This window comes from Homo sapiens, chromosome 9 (assembly GCF_000001405.40).
Source record: "Homo sapiens chromosome 9, GRCh38.p14 Primary Assembly".
In the NCBI taxonomy this organism is placed as follows: domain Eukaryota; kingdom Metazoa; phylum Chordata; class Mammalia; order Primates; family Hominidae; genus Homo; species Homo sapiens.
In genome coordinates, this window is record NC_000009.12 from 103,305,320 (window position 1) to 103,325,663 (window position 20,344).

Genomic DNA, 20,344 nt, shown 5'->3' on the forward strand with positions numbered 1-20,344 from the left:
GACTCTCAAAGCACTGTTTTCTGTCTTGACTGAATCTAAGCATTGACAAAAAATTGTACCATATTTGGGATCACTGAGAACAAAAGCAATGGTTTAAGTTACTAAATATTTACTAACCATTGCTTCTCTCCCTGATTCAGAATGAAGTGAGTTGGAGAAAAATCCCCAACTCCTGGCTTTACCCTAGGGAGAGAAATAGTTGGAGCGTGCGTCAAAATGTATAGCTTTTGGGGAGGCTGCCTAAGGGACTTGTTTCTGTGTTGCCTGACTTGGGCCATGTATAGGGCCTGGCATACTCTAGTTGCCTGGAGGCTGCTGAGAACAAAAAGAGATCTGGGTGTCTTGATGCTACTCCAGAGGACCCAAAATACAATAGAAAGAGGCTGATAACACTTGGCAGTTTTACCCTCAAGAAGAAAAGGGAAGCATAGAATGTGTATTCAGTATTTTAGCTTTCTGAAGGGCTGACTGAAGAATGGATTTCTGTCTTGCCTGTCTCAGAGCACTATTCAGCACAGTACTGAAATCCTACCCAGAGCAATTAGGCAAGAAAAGGGAATGAAAGGCATTCAAATGGAAAGGGAAAGGAAGAAGTAGAATTATCTCTGTTTTCAGATAATATGATCTTATATATAAAAATCTTTATCAATTACAACACACACATTAGACTAATAAACTCAGCACAGTTTCAGCTTAAAATCATCAACATCCAAAAGCTAGATGAATTTCTATATACTAATAATCATCCATCTATAAGGGAAATTAGAAAACAATTCCATTTACTATGTCATCAAAAAAAAAAAGGATATACTTAGGAATGCACTTAACTAATTAAGTAAAAGATTTACACTGAAAACTAGAAAACTGCTGAAAGAAAATTTAAGACCTAAAAAAATGACAATAAATCTCAAATTAATGGATTGGATTACCTAATACTGTTAAAATGTCTATACTACTCAAAGCAATCTACAGATTCAGTGCAATCCCTGTCAAAATCCCAATAGATTTTGGCAATTCAAATAGAAAAGTTTTTCAGCATTCAAATAGAAAATACTTTTTGTACAGAAAATATAATTCTAAACAGAAAAAAAACAATTTTAAAATTCCTGTGAAACCATTAAAAAACCCAAAGAGCCAAAACAAGAGGAACAAAACTGGAGGCATCACACTTTCTGACTTCAAAACATATTACAAAGCGATCAAAATCAAAGCAGTATGGTTCTGGCCTAAATACAGACATATAGAACATTGCAACAGAATAGAGAGCTCACAGATAAACCCATGCATATATATTCAACTGATCTTTGACAAGGGTTCTGAGAATACACATTAGGGAAAGGAGAGTCTGTTTTACAAATGATGCTGGGAAAACCACATGCATACAAATGTACCTGGACCCTAATCTTAGATAATATACAAAATCAACTCAAAATGGCTTGAAGATTTAAATTTAAAATCTAAAACTATAAAAATTCTGGAAGAAAATGTAAGGGGAAAACATCATAACCTTGTTCTTGGCAATGATTTCCTGGATATGAAATCAAAAGCACAGGCCACAAAAGCTAAAATAGACAAATGGGAACATGTCAAACTGAAAAGTTCCTGCACAGAGAAGTAAGCAATCCACAGAGTATAAATGCAACCTACAGAATGGGAGAAAATATTTGCAAATCATATATCTCAGATATCTGCTAAGGAGCTACCCAAAATGTGCAGAAAACTCCTACAATTCAGTGGCAAAAAAAAACAAAAACGGATTTTTTAAATGAGCTAAGGACTTGAATAGACATTTCTCTAATGAACGCATACAAATGACCAACAGGTATATGAAGAAATGTTCAATATCACCAATGATGAGGGATTCATCATTGTCAATACTTAGTATTTATTTTTTTAAATTACTTTTGTTGGTGTGTACTGTTATTACTATTTTACTTTAACTTTTTGGACCATCTTGTTTATCTCATGGCTTACTGAATTTTAGCTTAGTATGGTTTTATAGCTCTATATTTTTCTGTTTTACCTCCACCCCAGACATTGTCTTTTTTTTGTATTTCCATGCATTATAATTCATAATTATTATTATATGTAAGACATACAATTTGAATAATAAAAATGATAACAAAATAATTTTCTAACAACCCAGCTTAAAAAACCCAGGTTAACCAATAACTTTCCATTCACAATTTCCCCTAATTCCATTCTCCTTTTGTCTTTTACATAGGTAGGTATTTTGGTAAATTTTGTGCTTATTCTTTTGTCTGTATGATTTTATTACAATCTGCAAGAAACTTTCAATATTGTATTGTTTAGTTGTTTAAGATCAGATTTACTTAAATCTATATTTTGATATATTTAGCAACTGAATATTTTTCAAGCATCCAGTGCCAAAAAACAAGGCATGGAACATTTCAGTTGACATAACATGTTCTTTCACTCTTTTGAAGTTAACCATCTCTTCTTTCCTTCAGAATCTGGCAACTATTGATCTGATTTATGTCCCTATAGTTTTGCCTTCTACAGAATGTAGTTTATGTACAATACAGTACACAGTCTTTTGTGTCTGGTTTCTTTTACTGAGTATAATGCTTCTGACATGCTTCCATCTTGTTACATGTATTAGTAGTTTGTTCATTTTTGCTGCTGAACAGTAATGCTTGCGCATGTGAGTTGCAATTTGTTTAGTATTGTTTAGCAACTGCCAAGCTCTCCAATTTATATTTTAAGCCATTACTATCTATGGTTGAATTTAAGTACATAGACCCACGATTCCTACCGATACCCCAAAAGTTATTTCTCGCATCATTTTCATTATATATCCATGAGTTCGGAATAATTTGATTACTTCCTAGATACATTATCTCATTGGAGGTTTCACAATGGTTATTAAATTAGTCATCTATTGCTGCTTAACAAGTTATCCCGAAACCAAGTGGCTTAATACAATAACCGTTCGTAATTGTTCATGAGCCTTTGGTCAGCTGTATGGTTCTACAGAGATAGGCAAAACTGATCACAGCTGAGCTTGCTCAGGTATTTGAGCTCAGCTGCCAGACTGGCTAGAGCTGGCTGCTCTAGGAAGAGATCTTTCTTCAAACTGTAGGGCTTTGTTCATATGTTGGTGTTAGAGTACACAAACCCAGAACAGAAAAGTACGCAAACCCACATGAGTTCTAGATTGAATTCAGAGTGGAAAATTAAACTCCACTTGTTGATGTGAAAGTCTGTAAAGTATAATCACAAAGGAACATGTTGGATAATTGTGATTATTTTTACAGCCAACCATGGTTATTATTCTTATTCTGTCATTTCATCTGAATTTATAAATTGGAATTTTATATTCTTTCCCTTTTCAATTTATTGTGACCTTGGAATATATATCATACTGAAAAGGCAGAATGAATGTCTAGTTTTGTGTTTGTGTGTGTGTCCAGAGGGTGGGTCTGTGTGGGTGTGTGTATGTGTTTTGTGTGGGGGGTTGTATTTTTTAAGTCAATTTCATAAACAAAGGGTTGGTGCCACAGCAATTTCCAATGCTGACAATGCTTTTGGAGTCTTCTCCCAGATTTGCAGTTATGTCCGATCCACTTCCAATGATTTGACTCAGTAGGATCTTCCCTTTTTAGGGTATATTTTATTGGTGATTTCTGAATTTCAGCATTCTTTCGTTTTCTGTACATTCCTCAGAGCCTGTTTAGATATTTTACGTGTTAATCTACAAGTGTTTGATACAGTTCATCAGGATGGATGTCAGGCTTGTCCTTTTTATGTGCTACAATAATTCACTCAGTCAAGAAAGACATCCTTAGGTCATTTCTGATAGTAATTTAAATATTCTATTCAGACAACTGCATGTGAACTGTAGCATTGATTATATACATAAAATGTATGCTTTATCCCTAGATGTTGCAGACTTTAAAGATTTAGTTTTTCATTTGCTATCCTATAGGTGTCACAAATCAAACTGCTAAAATGGAAAGAAATTGTGAGACAATAACATAGAATTACAATGTCAGATTTTTCACTAGCCACCTACCTCAGGCTTCAGTCCCTGTGGGATATGCACAGAGTGCAAACTTTGCAAATAAGGAATAAGAATATATATATATATTTGCAAGTGGAATGTAACATGAGGCAAATATGTAATTTTAATTTTCTAGAAATGTAGAGAAAATTTAATTTTTCTAAAAATGTAAGTAGAAACAGGTGAAACCCATTTTAATAACTTAATTTGCTTGACCCAAAATATATAGGATCAATAATTAATCACTACAGAAAATTATTTTTGAGATATTTTAGTCTTCTTTTTCATGTTCAGTATTTGAAATCGAATGTGTGTTTTAAACTAACAGCACTCCTCACCCTCGAGCCACATATTAGTGCTCCAATGGCCACATGTAGCCAGTAGTAATTATATCACATAACACAATGGAATCTAGAATAAGCATGCATTTTGTATTTCTACAATACCAGTCCATCTTGGGAGTGGCGTTTTAACAGATTCACTTTAAAAATAACAAGAACAACATGAAAAACCTATCATGAAATCAAAACAAATGAACATTACACTTTGTTTTCCAATAGAGCTATTGGTCTTTTTATAGAACCTGATTGTATTATATGACAACTGTGGTAACCGTGTACATAACATAGGTCCACACATTTTACTTATCTCTGAAGATTATACTCAATACTATAATTTCCAGGTTTTCCTGATCATCAAGTACACTTGCATCACTTCATAAAACCGAATTCATTATTCCAAATAATACAGCATAGAAATAGATGAACATTACTTTCCATTCAAAGGATAGGATTTAGTTACAGACTTGGAAATATTTTAAAGCATACTTTTCTATAAAATAGTTTCATAGTATGGATCATTGAACACAACAATGAAGGAAAGGTATCACTGTATCACTGTAAACATTTTAGATGCAATATGAAGTTTGAAATATTTGTTCATCTTGTCTGCTCAGTAAAATATAAGTTTCATTATGAAAGTCAAGGGCCTGTCTGCTAAACACTATAAATTCTTTAGCCCTCAATAGAATGCCATAAACCTGTTGATACAGTTGAGAGAAAAATGGGAATTTGAAAATATAGTTATACTTTACACAGAAGAAATAACACTGTACTGTTGCAGATTGGCTAATCATATTCTCTAATTAAATTAATAAAATAGAAATAACATATGCAGTCCTCTAACATGGGACCCTTCACTTGACTAAATGCCTCTGTATATCATAAAGGATGAGAAACAAAGTAGAAAAAATTTCTTGATAATCATGTGTAAAAACTATTCTAGGCACATTAAGTGTATCTTTACTAATTGTCACTACAATATATAAAGAAATTATCCTTATCCAATTTATAGGTAGGGAAACATGCTTTAACTAACTCTTCCAAGGTCACTAAGCAAAAATACAGTGGATTTTCAGGAAGGATAAGTCTGATTCTGGTGCCCGAGCATTTCTATTACCACTTAATATATTTTCTTTTATAATTAACTGACCTTACATTTCAAATAAATATTGGAAAAAAAAAGATTTGTAAAAAGTAGGCACAGTTGGTGCTTCGGAATTGAGAGTCACCAATTTGCAGGCTAATAAATCTAAGAACCCAACTGTTAGTCTCATTGGCAGTAATGGAGCAGCCACTTTAGGTTCTGCATTTTTGGTTAATTAGAACACTTCTCAGGTGGTAAAATTGATAGCCTTCAGCATGGTATGCTTTAAGACCACCTGAGCCATGCTGTTATCATTCAGAAATGCACTGCCTGCCAAATACTACTGATTAATCTACATAATTATCTTAGCACTATAATTATTGAATTGTCTTTCAGGTAGGATATAAAAGAAAAAACTAAAATACATACTTCTAAAATGTTTTGTTTTAGAGTTTCCTTTATCTTGTCAACACTTTAGGAATAACAGAATTTACCGAGTGCCTCTACATTGAGTTAATAATACAAATATAACATTAACAACAACAAAAATAAAGTATCAATTACTGATGTTCCAGTCATGCCAATTAGATCTTTACATCAGTTATCTTGGTTTATTCCTTGAGCCTACTTGATGTTGTGGTAACCATTCTCATTCCAGTTTTCCAGATGAGCAGACTGAATTTAACAGTGTAATAGAACTGCCCTAAATCATACAAACTTTAAACGTTTGGCTGAGATTCCAAACCATAGTCTCACTCTTGCAGTCTTTCTTTTTTTCTTTTTTTTTATTATTATTATACTTTAAGTTTTAGGGTACATGTGCACAACGTGCAGGTTATTACATATGTATACACGCGCCATGTTGGTGTGCTGCATCCATTAACTCGTCATTTAGCATTAGGTATATCTCCTAACTCTATCCCTCCCCCCTCCCTCCACCCCACAGCAGTCCCCGGAGTGTGATGTTCCCCTTCCTGTGTCCATGTGTTCTCATTGTTCAATTCCCACCTATGAGTGAGAACATGCAGTGTTTGGTTTTTTGTCCTTGCGATAGTTTGCTGAGAATGATGGTTTCCAGCTTCATCCATGTCCCTAAAAAGGACATGAACTCATCATTTTTTATGGCTGCATAGTATTCCATGGTGTATATGTGCCACATTTCCTTAATCCAGTCTATCGTTGTTGGACATTTGAGTTGGTTCCAAGTCTTTGCTATTGTGAATAGTGCCACAATAAACATACGTGTGCATGTGTCTTTATAGCAACATGATTTATAGTCCTTTGGTTATACACCCATTAATAGGATGGCTGGTTCAAATGGTATTTCTAGTTCTAGATCCCTGAGGAATTGCCACACTGACTTCCACAATGGTTGAACTAGTTTACCATCCCACCAACAGTGTAAAAGTGTTCCTATTTCTCCACATCCTCTCCAGCACCTGTTGTTTCCTGACTTTTTAATGATCGCCATTCTAACTGGTGTGAGATGGTATCTCATTGTGGTTTTGATTTGCATTTCTCTGATGGTCAGTGATGATGAGCATTTTTTCATGTGTTTTTTGGCTGCATAAATATCTTCTTTTGAGAAGTGTCTGTTCATATCCTTTGCCCACTTTTTGATGGGGTTATTTGTTTTTTTCTTGTAAATTTGTTTGAGTTCACTGTAGATTCTGGATATTAGCCCTTTGTCAGATGAGTAGGTTGCAAAAATTTTCTCCCATTCTGTAGGTTGCCTGTTCACTCTGATGGTGGTTTCTTTTGCTGTGCAGAAGCTCTTTAGTTTAATTAGATCCCATTTGTCAATTTTGGCTTTTGTTGCCATTGTTTTTGGTGTTTTAGACATGAAGTCCTTGCCCATGCCTATGACCTGAATGGTATTGCCTAGGTTTTCTTCTAGGGTTTTTATGGTTTTAGGTCTAACATGTAAGTCTTTAACCCATCTTGAATTAATTTTTGTATAAGGTGTAAGGAAGGGATCCAGTTTCAGCTTTCTACATATGGCTAGCCAGTTTTCCCAGCACCATCAAGTTACCAATGACTTTCTTCACAGAATTGGATAAAACTACTTTAAAGTTCATATGGAACCAAAAAAAAGCCTGCATTGCCAAGTCAATCCTAAGCCAAAAGAACAAAGCTGGAGGCATCATGCTACCTGACTTCAAACTGTATTACAAGGCTACAGTAAACAAAACTGCATGGTACTGGTACCAAAACAGAGATATAGACCAATGGAACAGAACAGAGCCCTCAGAAATAATGCCGCATATCTACAACTATCTGATCTTGCATTCTTATTAATTGTACTTTTAAAGTTGTTAACAGCTTTAAAGTTAGGAATTTCTCTACGTAACTACCAACATATTCATTAATAATTTAAGAAAAACAAAGTAAAAAGTATCATCTGCTATTGTGTATATTAATATGAATTATATATATGGTTTTTTTTTTTTTTTTGAGATGGAATCTCACTCTGTCTTCCAGGGTGGAGTGCAGTGGCGCCATCTCAGCTCACTGCAAACTCTGCCTCCCAGGTTAAAGTGATTCTCTTGCCTCAGCCTCTTGAGTAGCTGGGATTACAAGCGCCCACCACCACACTCGGCTAATTTTTGTATTTTTGGTAGAGACAGGGTTTCACCATGTTGGTCAGGCTGGTCTTGAACTCCTGACCTCAAGTGATCCTCCCACTTCAGCCTCCCAAAGTGCTGGGAGTACAGGCATGAGCCACCGTGCCTAGTCAATATGAATAAATATTAATTTTGCAAAAAGATGCAGGGTTTTAGGTCATACTGATAACACACTTTAAGTCATTTGTAGTGACATCTTAACATTAAATGAGGGTGCTGAACGTTTTATTTCAAATATCATCTTCTGTGATGTTCCCCAATGTAGACAATCATTTTTGTCCACCTGAGAAAGACAACTAAATTGAAAGCTTCTTATTTGAAGTAACTCATTAAACATCTAAAATATATTTTATTGAATTTATGAAATCCTTTTGAATTCAGTTGCTACTTTTACTTACTAATTTTTGGGGTTTAACTAGAACTGTAAGACTATTGGAGTTTCTATGGCCTGAGAAGAGTAGATAAGCTTCAACACTTTGTATTTAGAGGTTGTATGACTTTTAAAAAAATAATTTTAAATAAATGTTTCAATCAGTTATTTATAAAACATCAGTTATTTGAAAGTGTGCTTTTCAAAGCGTACTCTGTCTCAAAAACTATATTAAACAGAAGGAATAGAAATGTGAAGAAGGCAGGAATCATGGAATAAGTAGTTTACAAGCTGGTCCTGGTGGCTCACGCCTGTAATCCCAGTGCTTTGGGAGGCTAAGGAGTTCGGATCACCTTAGGTCAGGAATTCAAGACCAGCCTGGCCAACATGGCAAAACCCTGTCTCTACTAAAAATACAAAAATTAGCTGGGTGTGGTGGTGCATTCCTGTAATCCCAGCTACTCGGGAGGCTGAGGTAGGAGAATCACTTGAACCTGGGAGGCAGAGGTTGTAGTGAAATGAGATTGTGCCACTGCACACCAGCCTGGGTGACAGAGACTCTGTCTCAAAAAAAAAAAAAAAAAATGTTTACAATCAGCAAGAGGTTTACAGACTTGACAATGTGTGATTTCTTCTAAACAAATTCATTAAAAATTTTGGCCCTTTTTTCACAAAATTATTCCCTAAGATCATTCTAAAGACATTTTAACTTCAAGAGCAAGGCATAGAGGTAGATTTAAATGGCCACAAGTACTTTGCAGTTCTTTTCATTAACTTTAGAAGTCTGTTTCCCGACCTCTTAAATTTGACTGGTCCAAACACTTTTCATAACTAATAGAATCTAGCAGAAGTGATGTTGTGAGAGTTCTAGACCTTAAGTCTCAAGACATCTTTCAGTTTTTGCCTTTGCTCTTTTGGATGCGACAGTCAGAATGCTGTGTAAGGGAACTGATGGAGCCTAATGAAGTATGAATGGCCATGTGGAAGATAACTGAGTGGTCCTAGATGACAGCCAGGTACACTGCCAGATTTTTGAGTGAGGTCATTTTTTTTAATGTAACTTTTCTTTCTTTATTTTATTTTATTTTGAGGGGGTCCTATGTTGCCCAGGCTGGTCTTGAACTCCTGGGCTCAAGGAATCCTCTGCTTCAGCCTCCCAAGTAGATTAGATTAGAAGCATATGCCACTGCCCCTGGCAAGCAAGGTCATTTTTGACCTTCCAGTCCAGACAACTCTGCAGCCTAATTCAGCCAATGAATGAACTCAAGATAAGTCAACAGAAGACCCACCTGTCCAGCTCACGGAATCTTGGAAATGATAAATCAGCATTGCTTAAAGACACTAAATTGTGACATTTTTACCTGATAATAATTAATTACCTGGACATTCTAAAGTTTTAAGCGGTTTATGAAATTCAGAGGTTAATATCATAAAGCAGGCTTGGATTTTCATGCCCATCAGAAGTCCTGAGTAGTGGCAGTAGAGTGAATTTTCAGCATTAAGTGAAATGTCCGAAGTCCTGAGGGTATGGAAAAATATATAGGTGTAAACTTTGAAAGTTCTGTTTTTTTTTTCTTTATTATTGAGACAGGGTCTCTGTCACCCAGGCCAGAGTGCAGTGGCACGATCTGGGCTTACTGCAGCCTCCACCTCCCAGACTCACCTCAGCCTCCCAAGTACCTGGGACTACAGGCTTGTGCCACCATATCAGACTAATTTTTTGTATTTTTGGTGGAGATGGGGTTTTGCTATGTTGCCGAGGCTGGTCTCTAACTCCTGAACTCAAGTGATCAGCTCGTCTTGGCCTCCCACAGTGCTGGGATTACAGGCATGAGCCCCCATGCCAGCCTGAAAGTTATTTTCCATGAATCAAAACAAAAACACTCCACTGGTAGATAGATGTTATTAAAAATTTGTCAAAACCCATAGGATGTACAACACCAAAACCAAACCCTTATGTAAACTATGGACTCTGGGTGATAATGAGGTGACATTGTAGGTTCATCCATTGTGACAAATGCATGACTGTGGTGCAGGATGTCAATAGTGGGAAAGGTTGCACATGTGTGGGTGACAGGGGGTCTATAGGAACTTTGTTCTTTCCATTTAATTTTGCTGTGAACCTAAAAATTCTCTAAAAAACTAAAGCTTATTAATTAGAAAAAAACCAAAATAGCAATGAGAACAATAAAAACCACTTGTGTTATGTATTCCCCTTTTAATACATAGAGAGAAATTTACCTTTAAATATAATTAAATTTATAGCCTTGTCAGAATTTAATGAAGTTTAACTGTAATGTGGCACTTAAGGAATATTGCTACATATGCTAATTGATTTTTCTTTTGTACTTCACACTATACAGTTCACAAAATATTCAAAGTGATGTACAAAAAGAAGGGAAAAATGGTATGTACTGCCACTTATACGTGAACACACACAGATACCTGGGGGAAATAATTCATTAGTCAATGAACAGCTCTATATATGCCAACAAACTAGAGTTCTGGGAAGAAAATAATGAATTAAAAGATCACTCGACAAAAATGCTTAATTATTTCAGTACTTATTTCCCCTGATGATATTTAGAAGTGGGAAGAAAAAGATACGCATGAAATGTCTTTGTGTATAACAGAGAGAAAGAAAGAAAGAGAGATTGTAACTGACTATAAGCAGAACAGTTTTGCTTAATTGTATTTCTAGCTACTGTTGTTCATTTTAAATTGCCTAACTGGAGTTCTAGAGCATTGAAAATATTGAGAGGCTCTAGCTGCACAGTCACAGCAATTTTTAACTGAGATAAATTACTAAACATGATCTAAATTTTGCTTTGTTTTGCTTTTGCTTCAAATGTGAAATGATCTTTCATTATTTGTAAATGGAGGAATGTGGAATATGAAAATGAGAAGCATTTTATAGCTACTCAGTAATATGGCACCAACAATGATAAGGTATAATGCTTTAAATAAAATTTAGGGGAATCTTAGTAAGCCACGAAATTGAGTTAAGATTCAATATGCTATGGCTCTTCAAATTATATTACAATGCGATGAGCTAATTTTGAAAAATATTTAATGCCATTCAAAAAACAATTTTAGTCTGGGTGTGGTCACTCACGCCTGTAATCTCAGCACTTTGGGAGGCCAAGGAAGGAAGACTGCTTGAGCTCACGAGTTTGAGACCGGCCTGGGCACCATGGCGAAACCCTGTCTCTACAAAAAACACAAAAATCAGCTAGGTGTTGTGGTGTGCACTTGTGGTTCCAGCTACTCTGGAGGCTGAGGTGAAAGAATGGCGAGAGCCAGGGAGACAGAGGTTGCAATGAGCAGAGATCAGGCCACTGCACTCTAGCCTGGGCAATAGAGCCACACCTTGTCTCAAGGAAATAAAAATTGTCATTTTGATTACTAAAATCATAATGATATTCAACATTTGTTGTGTACTTATTTTGTGCCATGGACTCTTTGAATCTGTTCACATATGTCATTTAATCCTCATAATAATCATTTGAAGTAGATACCAAATTTACATATTGGGAAACAGAGCCATAAATAGAGTATTTAAGGTCACATAGCTACTATATGTTGGCATTGGAGGTTAAACACAGAAAATTTGATCCCATAAGTCTTCATTACAAGGGTTCAAAAGAACATTGTAATACGACTAGCTGGAAACACATATTTTATATACGTTTTTTACTTCCAATGTTTTCTGTGAAGACAAGAGATATTTTGATCAGCATTAACAATTAATTTTGTCGTAAATTAGGTAATAATGAACACTCTTCCTGCTAGACTCGTTTCTTACAGGCTTTTTTCTACCCTAGAAATATTTGTAGCTTAAATAAATAAGACAATAAGTTAACCTAGGTGAGTAAATCAAGCAATACTTATAGTTACATCATTATGGAATCTATGCATTACTACAAATAAATCATGAAGGAATCAAAAAGTAGATTGATAAAATAAAAGAACTTCTCTCTGCATTAAAAAGAAAAGGATATGTCTCCATGGAGGCTGCATAAAAGGAATCAAATTTTAACAGAGGAAATTCATGTTCTTAACTAAGATTGATAGTGCTTAATAAGCCAGAAATTTTAATATGGACGTGTCAATATTCTTTCCTTGTGAAAGAATTTTTGTGTTGTGTTATATCTTCCTAAATTTCCACTACCAAGTTTTTCTTAACTCCTATTTTCACATGGAGCCAACATGACCTTTAGGATCTCCATTACCATATACTACATTGAGCCTGGTTTACTGGTTTATTAATAGTTCTCCTCTTTTTTTGCTTTTGCTTATACTATTACTTTACAGGCTGGAATCTTCACAATTTCTCACATAAGAAAACTTTAAATAATTTGCTTACTCTATTACTCTAGTAAGAATTAGGCTGTTCCTATTGGTTTTTGCTTCCATCACATCATTCTGATCATTCTATGATGGTTTTATTTGACTCAGAAGAAAGCCATCCTAAACATCACTACTTGGTATCACTTCCCCTCATTCCCTATGCTTATCTTACATTTTTCTAAGTAGGCTTTTTCTCTGGGGAAATTGATGCCAGAATTTTCTTCATAAAGAGCGTTTGCCAGTGTTTTACATTAAACACTTTAAAGCATCATAATAATGATAACATTCACAAGGTACTATATTATCACATGTAACCCTTTTGAGATAATTTTGAGTGAGACATTATTTTTCTGACTTTGGAGGTGTACCAAAAACCAAAAAAAAAAAAAAAAAAAAAACCACAAAAACATAAAAACAAACAAACAAAAAAACCACACACACACAGAGAAATTAAGTAACATTCCCAGGGACACACGGATAAAGATGACCAAGCCAAAATTGACTCCAGAGCTTCATAGAACACACCAAGCTTGACAGTACATTCTTCAGAAGATGTCTGAAAAGATGGCCAGTTTTCAAAAGCGTACCTAACAACTAAATCAGTTCCACTTATATTTAGAACCCAAATTTTGACCTCCATGTATGGTTGCCCAAATTCTGATATCCTGACTACTAATCCCCCAGTCCCAATCCCAATTCATGTGTGGACCTTAATCTTCATGTCTGCCTCTTTAAGCGCCCTCCTTTTTTCATCCCATTGAGTCCTTGCTAGTAGAGTTCCAGGTCTTTCTGTCTACCTAAAATGATCATCGATTAAGACTGTCTACCTGAAACTTCTATATTATAGTTGCTATGCTTTATTTATGTTCTTTTTTTAATTATACTTGAAGTTTTAGGGTACATGTGCACAATGTGCAGGTTAGTTACATATGTATACATGTGCCATGCTGGTGTGCTGCACCCATTAACTCGTCATGTTTATGTTGTTTCTTGAGATTGTAATTTTCATCCTTTCTCCCCGGGTCTCTGATACATATATCTTGATCTTGGCTCATTTTGTTCTGTCTTCTTGCTCATATCCTTGAAAATCCATATCACAGGCTGTAATTTCATTAAGTGGGAAACAATTTGTTTATTTTGGGATTTGAGGTCTTAATAATATTCTCATTGTCTGAGCATGTAAAAGTGCCATCATTAGCTGATTGCTGCCTTTGTCCAACTATATTTGAAATTCTCTGCTACTTCTTAAATCTTTGACTTTCTTATATCATGCCTAGAACATTTTTACTCTTTTTTATACATAGTTATATACTTAACTTTGTATTTTATACAGATTGGTGCCTTTATTTTGACAGAGTTCAATGATATAATTTTCAATTACACTGGGCTTCAAGACAATATTTTGGAATATTCTTTATAGAACCTGGCTACCTGAAACATCTCTATGTCTATAATTTGAATTCATGTAATAAAAATGTCATTTTAACTTTATCAGTTTTGCAAAATATGACATAATGAGTCGAATACAGTAATTAAAACATTTCCAAAATATAGGTTAAACCCATTCCTATGGAACCCCAAGGAAAATAACTTCGGGTACACCCAAGGTTTTCCAAAACACTACTTTTACTGTGAAAAGTTTAATGCATTTACATTAATTCGTTTAATGAGACTAACTACATATTTACTAAGGTACATTGATAGAATTAAACAGGCTTTGGAAATGCATTTGTTATTATCTGGCTACTTTTGTTAGTTCCTCAGATGCTAATCAAACTTTCTGCAGGTATTTTCAATTACTATTTAATTATTTTACAGTGTACTTGCTGTGTGCCTCTCATTTAATCAGCAGCCATTGATTTCATCTGTCCAAACACTTCAGATGAGTTTTTTTGGCTCACTTCTCTCAACTCGTGGCACCTCTGAAATCCTCAGCAAATCCTTTGAGATATGATGAAGAAAGCAGTTTCTACAGAACTTCTTGAGTTCTCTCCTCTTTAAAATAGACATTAACACCTGTATGCTTGATAAGAGTATGGTGGTCTTAATCATGCAGCATCCGGATAAACGACACCTAGTGGTTAGATATTTTAAACACGTAAGTGGAGTTAACATGTAGAAGAAATAAGATGTTGGACAATTGAGCTTGTTCTATCATAATAAATAATGTAATATTTTAGGGCTGCTTTATTATAAGAACATAGGCTTATTGTGTAAACCTTCAGAGAGTTGAATAAAAATCAATTTGTAAAAGACTCAGACATGTAGATTTAATATAATTCCACTAAAGAATAAAATGAATAAAATATGAAATAATATATCATGTCAAGAGCTTTTAGTCACCATATTTCAGCTTAATTCAACAAACATTTATCCAGTCCCAACAACAGGCACTATGGCAGTGTGCAAGGAACAAAGATATCAAGATTAATACAGCACAGTATCAAGTCAATGCAGATCTCTGTCTGTGCAACTACCTTTGATCTTAAGATGCTTTCTATTCTATATAGCTATGGGTCCTGACCATGCAGCATCTCATTAACTCCTGCAGTTTTGGCAGTTAACACCGACTATTAAAGCTCCTGTTTCTTACCATAGTGGTTTCTAATAACATTTATCTCAGTTTTGTCACTCTGACCCAAAGCAGTTGAACATGCATAGCTTAATTTTCTTCTGTCCTTATGAGACTAGGCCAAGATAATTTAATAGCACTCTCCTAAAGATTCTAAGATAATAAAAGGATATTATTAAATGGATTATGCAAATAGTTAAGATTAGCAAACGGATTTGACAGAAATTAACATCTACAACTCTGACACATCATGTTTGGGTTTTTACAGCAGGGTTCTCAAGCCTAAATGTTCATTATAAATCATTGTAGAATCTTATGAAAAATGAAGATTTTGTGGTCTGAGGTAGGGTATGATCTCCCAGGTGATGCTGCTTCTGGTTTACTAATGTTCTGTGGACTATTTAGTAGTGAGACCTTCTTAGACGTCTTTCTAACAATCTAAGGGGTTTCTTGTGTCCTGTCACTCTTTCAGTGTCAAAATTCAGTTTCACCTTTGGGTACCCTAAAGCACACATGATCTGCTCAGACTGTAGTTCAGGGTGAATAAGGAAGCAGGAAGAAAATAAATTTCCTTCTCACCCTCAAATACTATCCAACTTCCCAGGTCATATTTCTTGTCCCAAAAATATTTGACAGAATGAATATTTATTTCTATATTAACCAAATTTATCATGTAGTTTTAAAAATCCAAGGAAAGAGATTATTCACAATCAGAACCAAAACCAAAACAAAAAACTCAACCAATCAAACAAAATGTAAATTGATAGTTTCTATTTGAAACTCTTTCCAAGTTAAAGAGCGAGAAGCTCCAGAAATATTTCCTGTTTCTCAAGAGCTTATATAATACCAATATCTGCTCAGTCAAGACAATCCTTATTAAGTCCACTCCAGATACTTTCATCAATCTTTCCTCTTGATTCTGGTAGCGAAAAGACCTGAACAGAGTTTCTGTAGTCTTCTGCAATTGCTCAAAAACAATACAATATAACACAAAGCACTCACCTTTACAGAAGAATAAATATGACTTCACAGGCATAACACAGCCTAAATCCATTCTAAGAAAGAAATATTTTCTGAGGAAATACATACATAGTATAGAAAAACAGAACACTACCAAAACAGATTTAACATTTTATTATTACACAAGTTCTTTAGCTCCTACACATCATAGTTCCTCATCCCCTTCTCGTTCTAATTATTATCCCTGGTTTTCCTTTGCAAAACTGAGTGGTACTTTTCTTGGTCTTTCTGTCTTCTTCACAGGGATTCTAAAAGCTTCACCATACATTATACAGAAAATTACTTACAGATTCTTTCCTATCCCAGGACCTACTGAGATGTTACAGATGTTCCTCCCATTTTTTTCCTCCTACAACCCTCACTCTAAATACAAATATATTGAAATCATAGACTAAAGGTAAAGATGTCTAACCCACAAATGAATTAATATAAAAAAGAAAAGGATGCCTCCAACTTCCATAAATGAAGAGAGATGTAAGTTAGTGGTAAATATATCAACTAATTATATGGTGCTCATAAGGATCAAATAATAACAATAGGAACTAGAAGATAATACCCATTAGAAGACAGGAAAGGTGGAATTAGGCTTATGTAAGGGAGGGTGTTAGAACTAAAGACCCTTTGCTAAAGTACTTTTAAAAGGCTGACATTCACAAAAAATGTAGACATTTACAAAAAAGGTTGGCTTCTCCTTTGTAAAGGAATATTATAGGACCTACTGACTTAGGAAGTGTCAGGAAAACTCTTTATAATTCAGAAATTCATGTATTTTAAAAAAATGCCTTCAGTGAAAAAATGGCTTCATGGGTATGGAATCTCAATTTATATTTCTGATGAGTCAAGAGACCTAGATGAAGAAAATTGGCTTATGAATTGTACTGGAGATAACCAACACTCTCAGAAGTCAATGAAAAAAAAATTACTCTGTAGCTATATTTTCCCCACTTGTGTAGAAACATATGGAGGGAGATGAAAGCAACTGTGCAAAAGAGGAGCTTCCGAATAAAATTTTATTTCATACAATGGAAAACACACACACACACACACACACACACACATACAACATGAGAGAGCTAAAACAAAATTGAGGTAAAAGAAAATCTGGGCCAGGCACAATGGCTCACACTTGTAATCCCAGCACTTTGGGAGAATGAGGCCAGAGAAACACTTGAGCCCAGGAGTTTGAGACCAGCCTGGGCAACACAGTGAGGCCCCTTCACTCAAAAATAAAGGAAATAAAGAAATTAGCTGGGTGTGGTGGCATACACCGGGAGGCTGAGGCTAGAGGATTGCTTGAGCCCAGGAGCTCCAGGCTGCAGTGACTATGATTGTACCACTGCACTCTAGCCTGGGTGCCAGAGCAAGGCGCCATCTCAAAACAAACAAACAAACAAACAAAAACTGAAATAAATAAGTGTGGCTTAAATTACTATAATAATAAAAAGAAGGGAGATAAAGTACAATGAAAAATAGGGTAATTTAAAAAATCAGAAATGTTGAAAAACAATAAAATTGAAATGAATCATTACAATTAAAACATCTTGAATGTAAAGCTTAAAAAGCAAATAAAATATGTACAAATTAGTGAAATCCCACTAGAGACCATAAAGCGTGAACATTTATTTTTAAAGTACTGAGAAAAAGTAGCTGTCTACTTACTTGTATACCCAGCTGTACTCTCTAGCTGAACGGCGTAAGTGAATCAATAATACTTTCAGGAGACTAATATAATCATAGATTATGGTTCAAATAATACTTAAAAGACATAGTTCAGGAAAAAATAATCAATGAACCCACAAGCAAAAATGAGGATATAAGAAGCAATGTCAAAAAAAGAATTTGATAAATGTGTTGATATATTAAAATATCATGGATTCTATTGGTCAATAACTTAAACAAGTATTGCCATTTTTCTGGCAACTAAAAACAATGTGAAACTAAAATTACAAACAATTAAATTGATGAGTGGACAGTGATGAGAGTAAACTTTTCGAAGGTCAAAGGTCCGAAAGCTTTAGGGTATCTCATGCACTTATTAATTTTTATTTTACAAACACTTAAATAGTGCTTAATATTTTCCTCAAATTTTATTAAAGATGATATAATAATATGTAGCCTGAGGTCACTACTTTTGATGTATTTATTTTAAAGGACTATTGCATCCATTTTCCCACAACCTTTTTTAGTGTTTTTGGTGGAGATGGTGGTAGTGTCATTATTTTACTTTTTTAAAATTTTGTTTTCTAACTCATTCTCCCCCAAACCAAACAGGTGTCTTTTTCCTTTCCTTTCCTTCCACTTCCCTTTCTCCTTCCCCTTCCCCTTCCCCTCCCTTCCTTCCCTTCCTTCTTTTCTTTTCTTTCTTTCTTTCTTTCTTTTTTTTTTTTTTTTTAATAAGAGAAAGGCTCTTCCTCTTTCACCCAGGCTGGAGTGCAGTGGCGTGATCACAGCTCACTACAGCCTCAAACTCCTGGGTCCAAGAGATTCCTCCGAGTAGCTACAGGCACATGCCACCACCATGCCTGGTTAATTTTTAAATTTTTAGTAGAAACAGGGATCTTGCTTTGTGGCCCAGACTGGTCTTCCACTCCTGGCCTCAAGCAATCCTATTATCTTGGCCTCCCAAAGTTCTGGGATTACAGAAATGAGCCACTGTATTTGGTCTTGCTTGTCTAATAAACTGTTCTTTTTTTTTTCAATATCTTAAAACCAGAGAATCCTCTGTTCAAACAAAATCTTTAACGTAAGTGTAAAGAAAGCCAAACAATATAATTAGGGCTCCTCTTTATAAAGAGAGAAAGTGAATAGCTGTGAGGCAGAGGAGTCACAGACACTTATCAGAAATGTTACATAGCACAGACATAAAAAAGATGTTTGAGAGGAGATAGAGGCCTCTTAGATAGGCCTCGTCCCAAATAGAAGAACACATGCAACCCCCAAATCTTTACTAACCCGCGGGTGAGGCCAGGCACAGATGTGTTTAGGCACCACAGCCATCTTTCCAGAAGACTGAAGTCCGATACTCATGGCAAACACAGAACATCTGAGTGGCTATTGATCAATGGAAGTCCTCTGGTTGGAGAAGTACTTTGATTAGAATGGAGCCTCAGAGCCCAAGGACTTCTATCAGCTTGTTCTTCTGTTGAGCCCACCACTCAGAGTTGCTAAGCCAACTGTCTGCTATATTCCCAGAAGACAGAATAAATAAGTCTACAGTGCCATGTAGTTGTATCTTTTCAGCACATCTTCCTTATCTGTATATAAAGCAAATTTTTAAACAACTTACCTCTACAAAGTCACTTTTGCCATTCAATGTAACATAGCTCTATACTAGACACTATGGGGTGAAGGTCATTGTGGTATTACGGAGGGTAGCAAAATTCCATCTATGACATCACACAAACATCAACCAAAAGAAACTTTGTGTGGCTGTAATAGTATCAGGCACAGTAGACTCTGCCATAGAGATAAAGGAGGCATTTCATACTATTAAAAGTTCAGTTAAATGGACAGTATAACAGTCACACCTTTGCTTACAACGTGATGGTAGGCATGAATCAACAGATAAAGAGAACACATTGTACTCAGAGCCTTATAATTAAAAATAAATCCAGTTAGAGTTATTTTGTAAACAAAATGTAGGAGGGATTTTAGGAAAAAAAATTGTCTTAACTCTAGACAGAGAAAAAGATAACTCATATGCAAGGAACCAACAGCAGACTATAGAACAACATCAACTGAAATAAAAAAGAGTAAAATCATATCCTCAAAATTCTATAATACTTATCAATAAATAATCAGGAACCCAGCAAAACTAATTTTAAAAAAGAAAAAAACAAAAATACTTTTTATGAACGAAATTAGAGACAACCACATAAGTATCCCCACTAAAGGAATTTTAAGAATATACTTCAGTAATATGGAAAAGATAAAAGATACTAAAATAAATATCTGAGAAA

At 35.0% G+C, this 20,344-nt stretch overlaps 1 long non-coding RNA gene across 1 annotated transcript in view; it reads right to left on the minus strand.

Moving 5' to 3' along the window:
* Positions 1 to 19,714, minus strand: part of LINC01492 (long intergenic non-protein coding RNA 1492) — a 184,506-nt gene extending 164,792 nt beyond the window's left edge. Inside the window, exons 1-3 of the long non-coding RNA NR_121578.1 lie at positions 19,672 to 19,714; positions 14,695 to 14,867; positions 9,823 to 9,962 (exon numbers count right to left, since the gene is read on the minus strand). This is a non-coding gene — a long non-coding RNA (long intergenic non-protein coding RNA 1492). The remainder of the gene's footprint in view (positions 1 to 9,822; positions 9,963 to 14,694; positions 14,868 to 19,671) is intronic.
* Between the last annotated feature and the right edge of the window lie 630 nt (positions 19,715 to 20,344).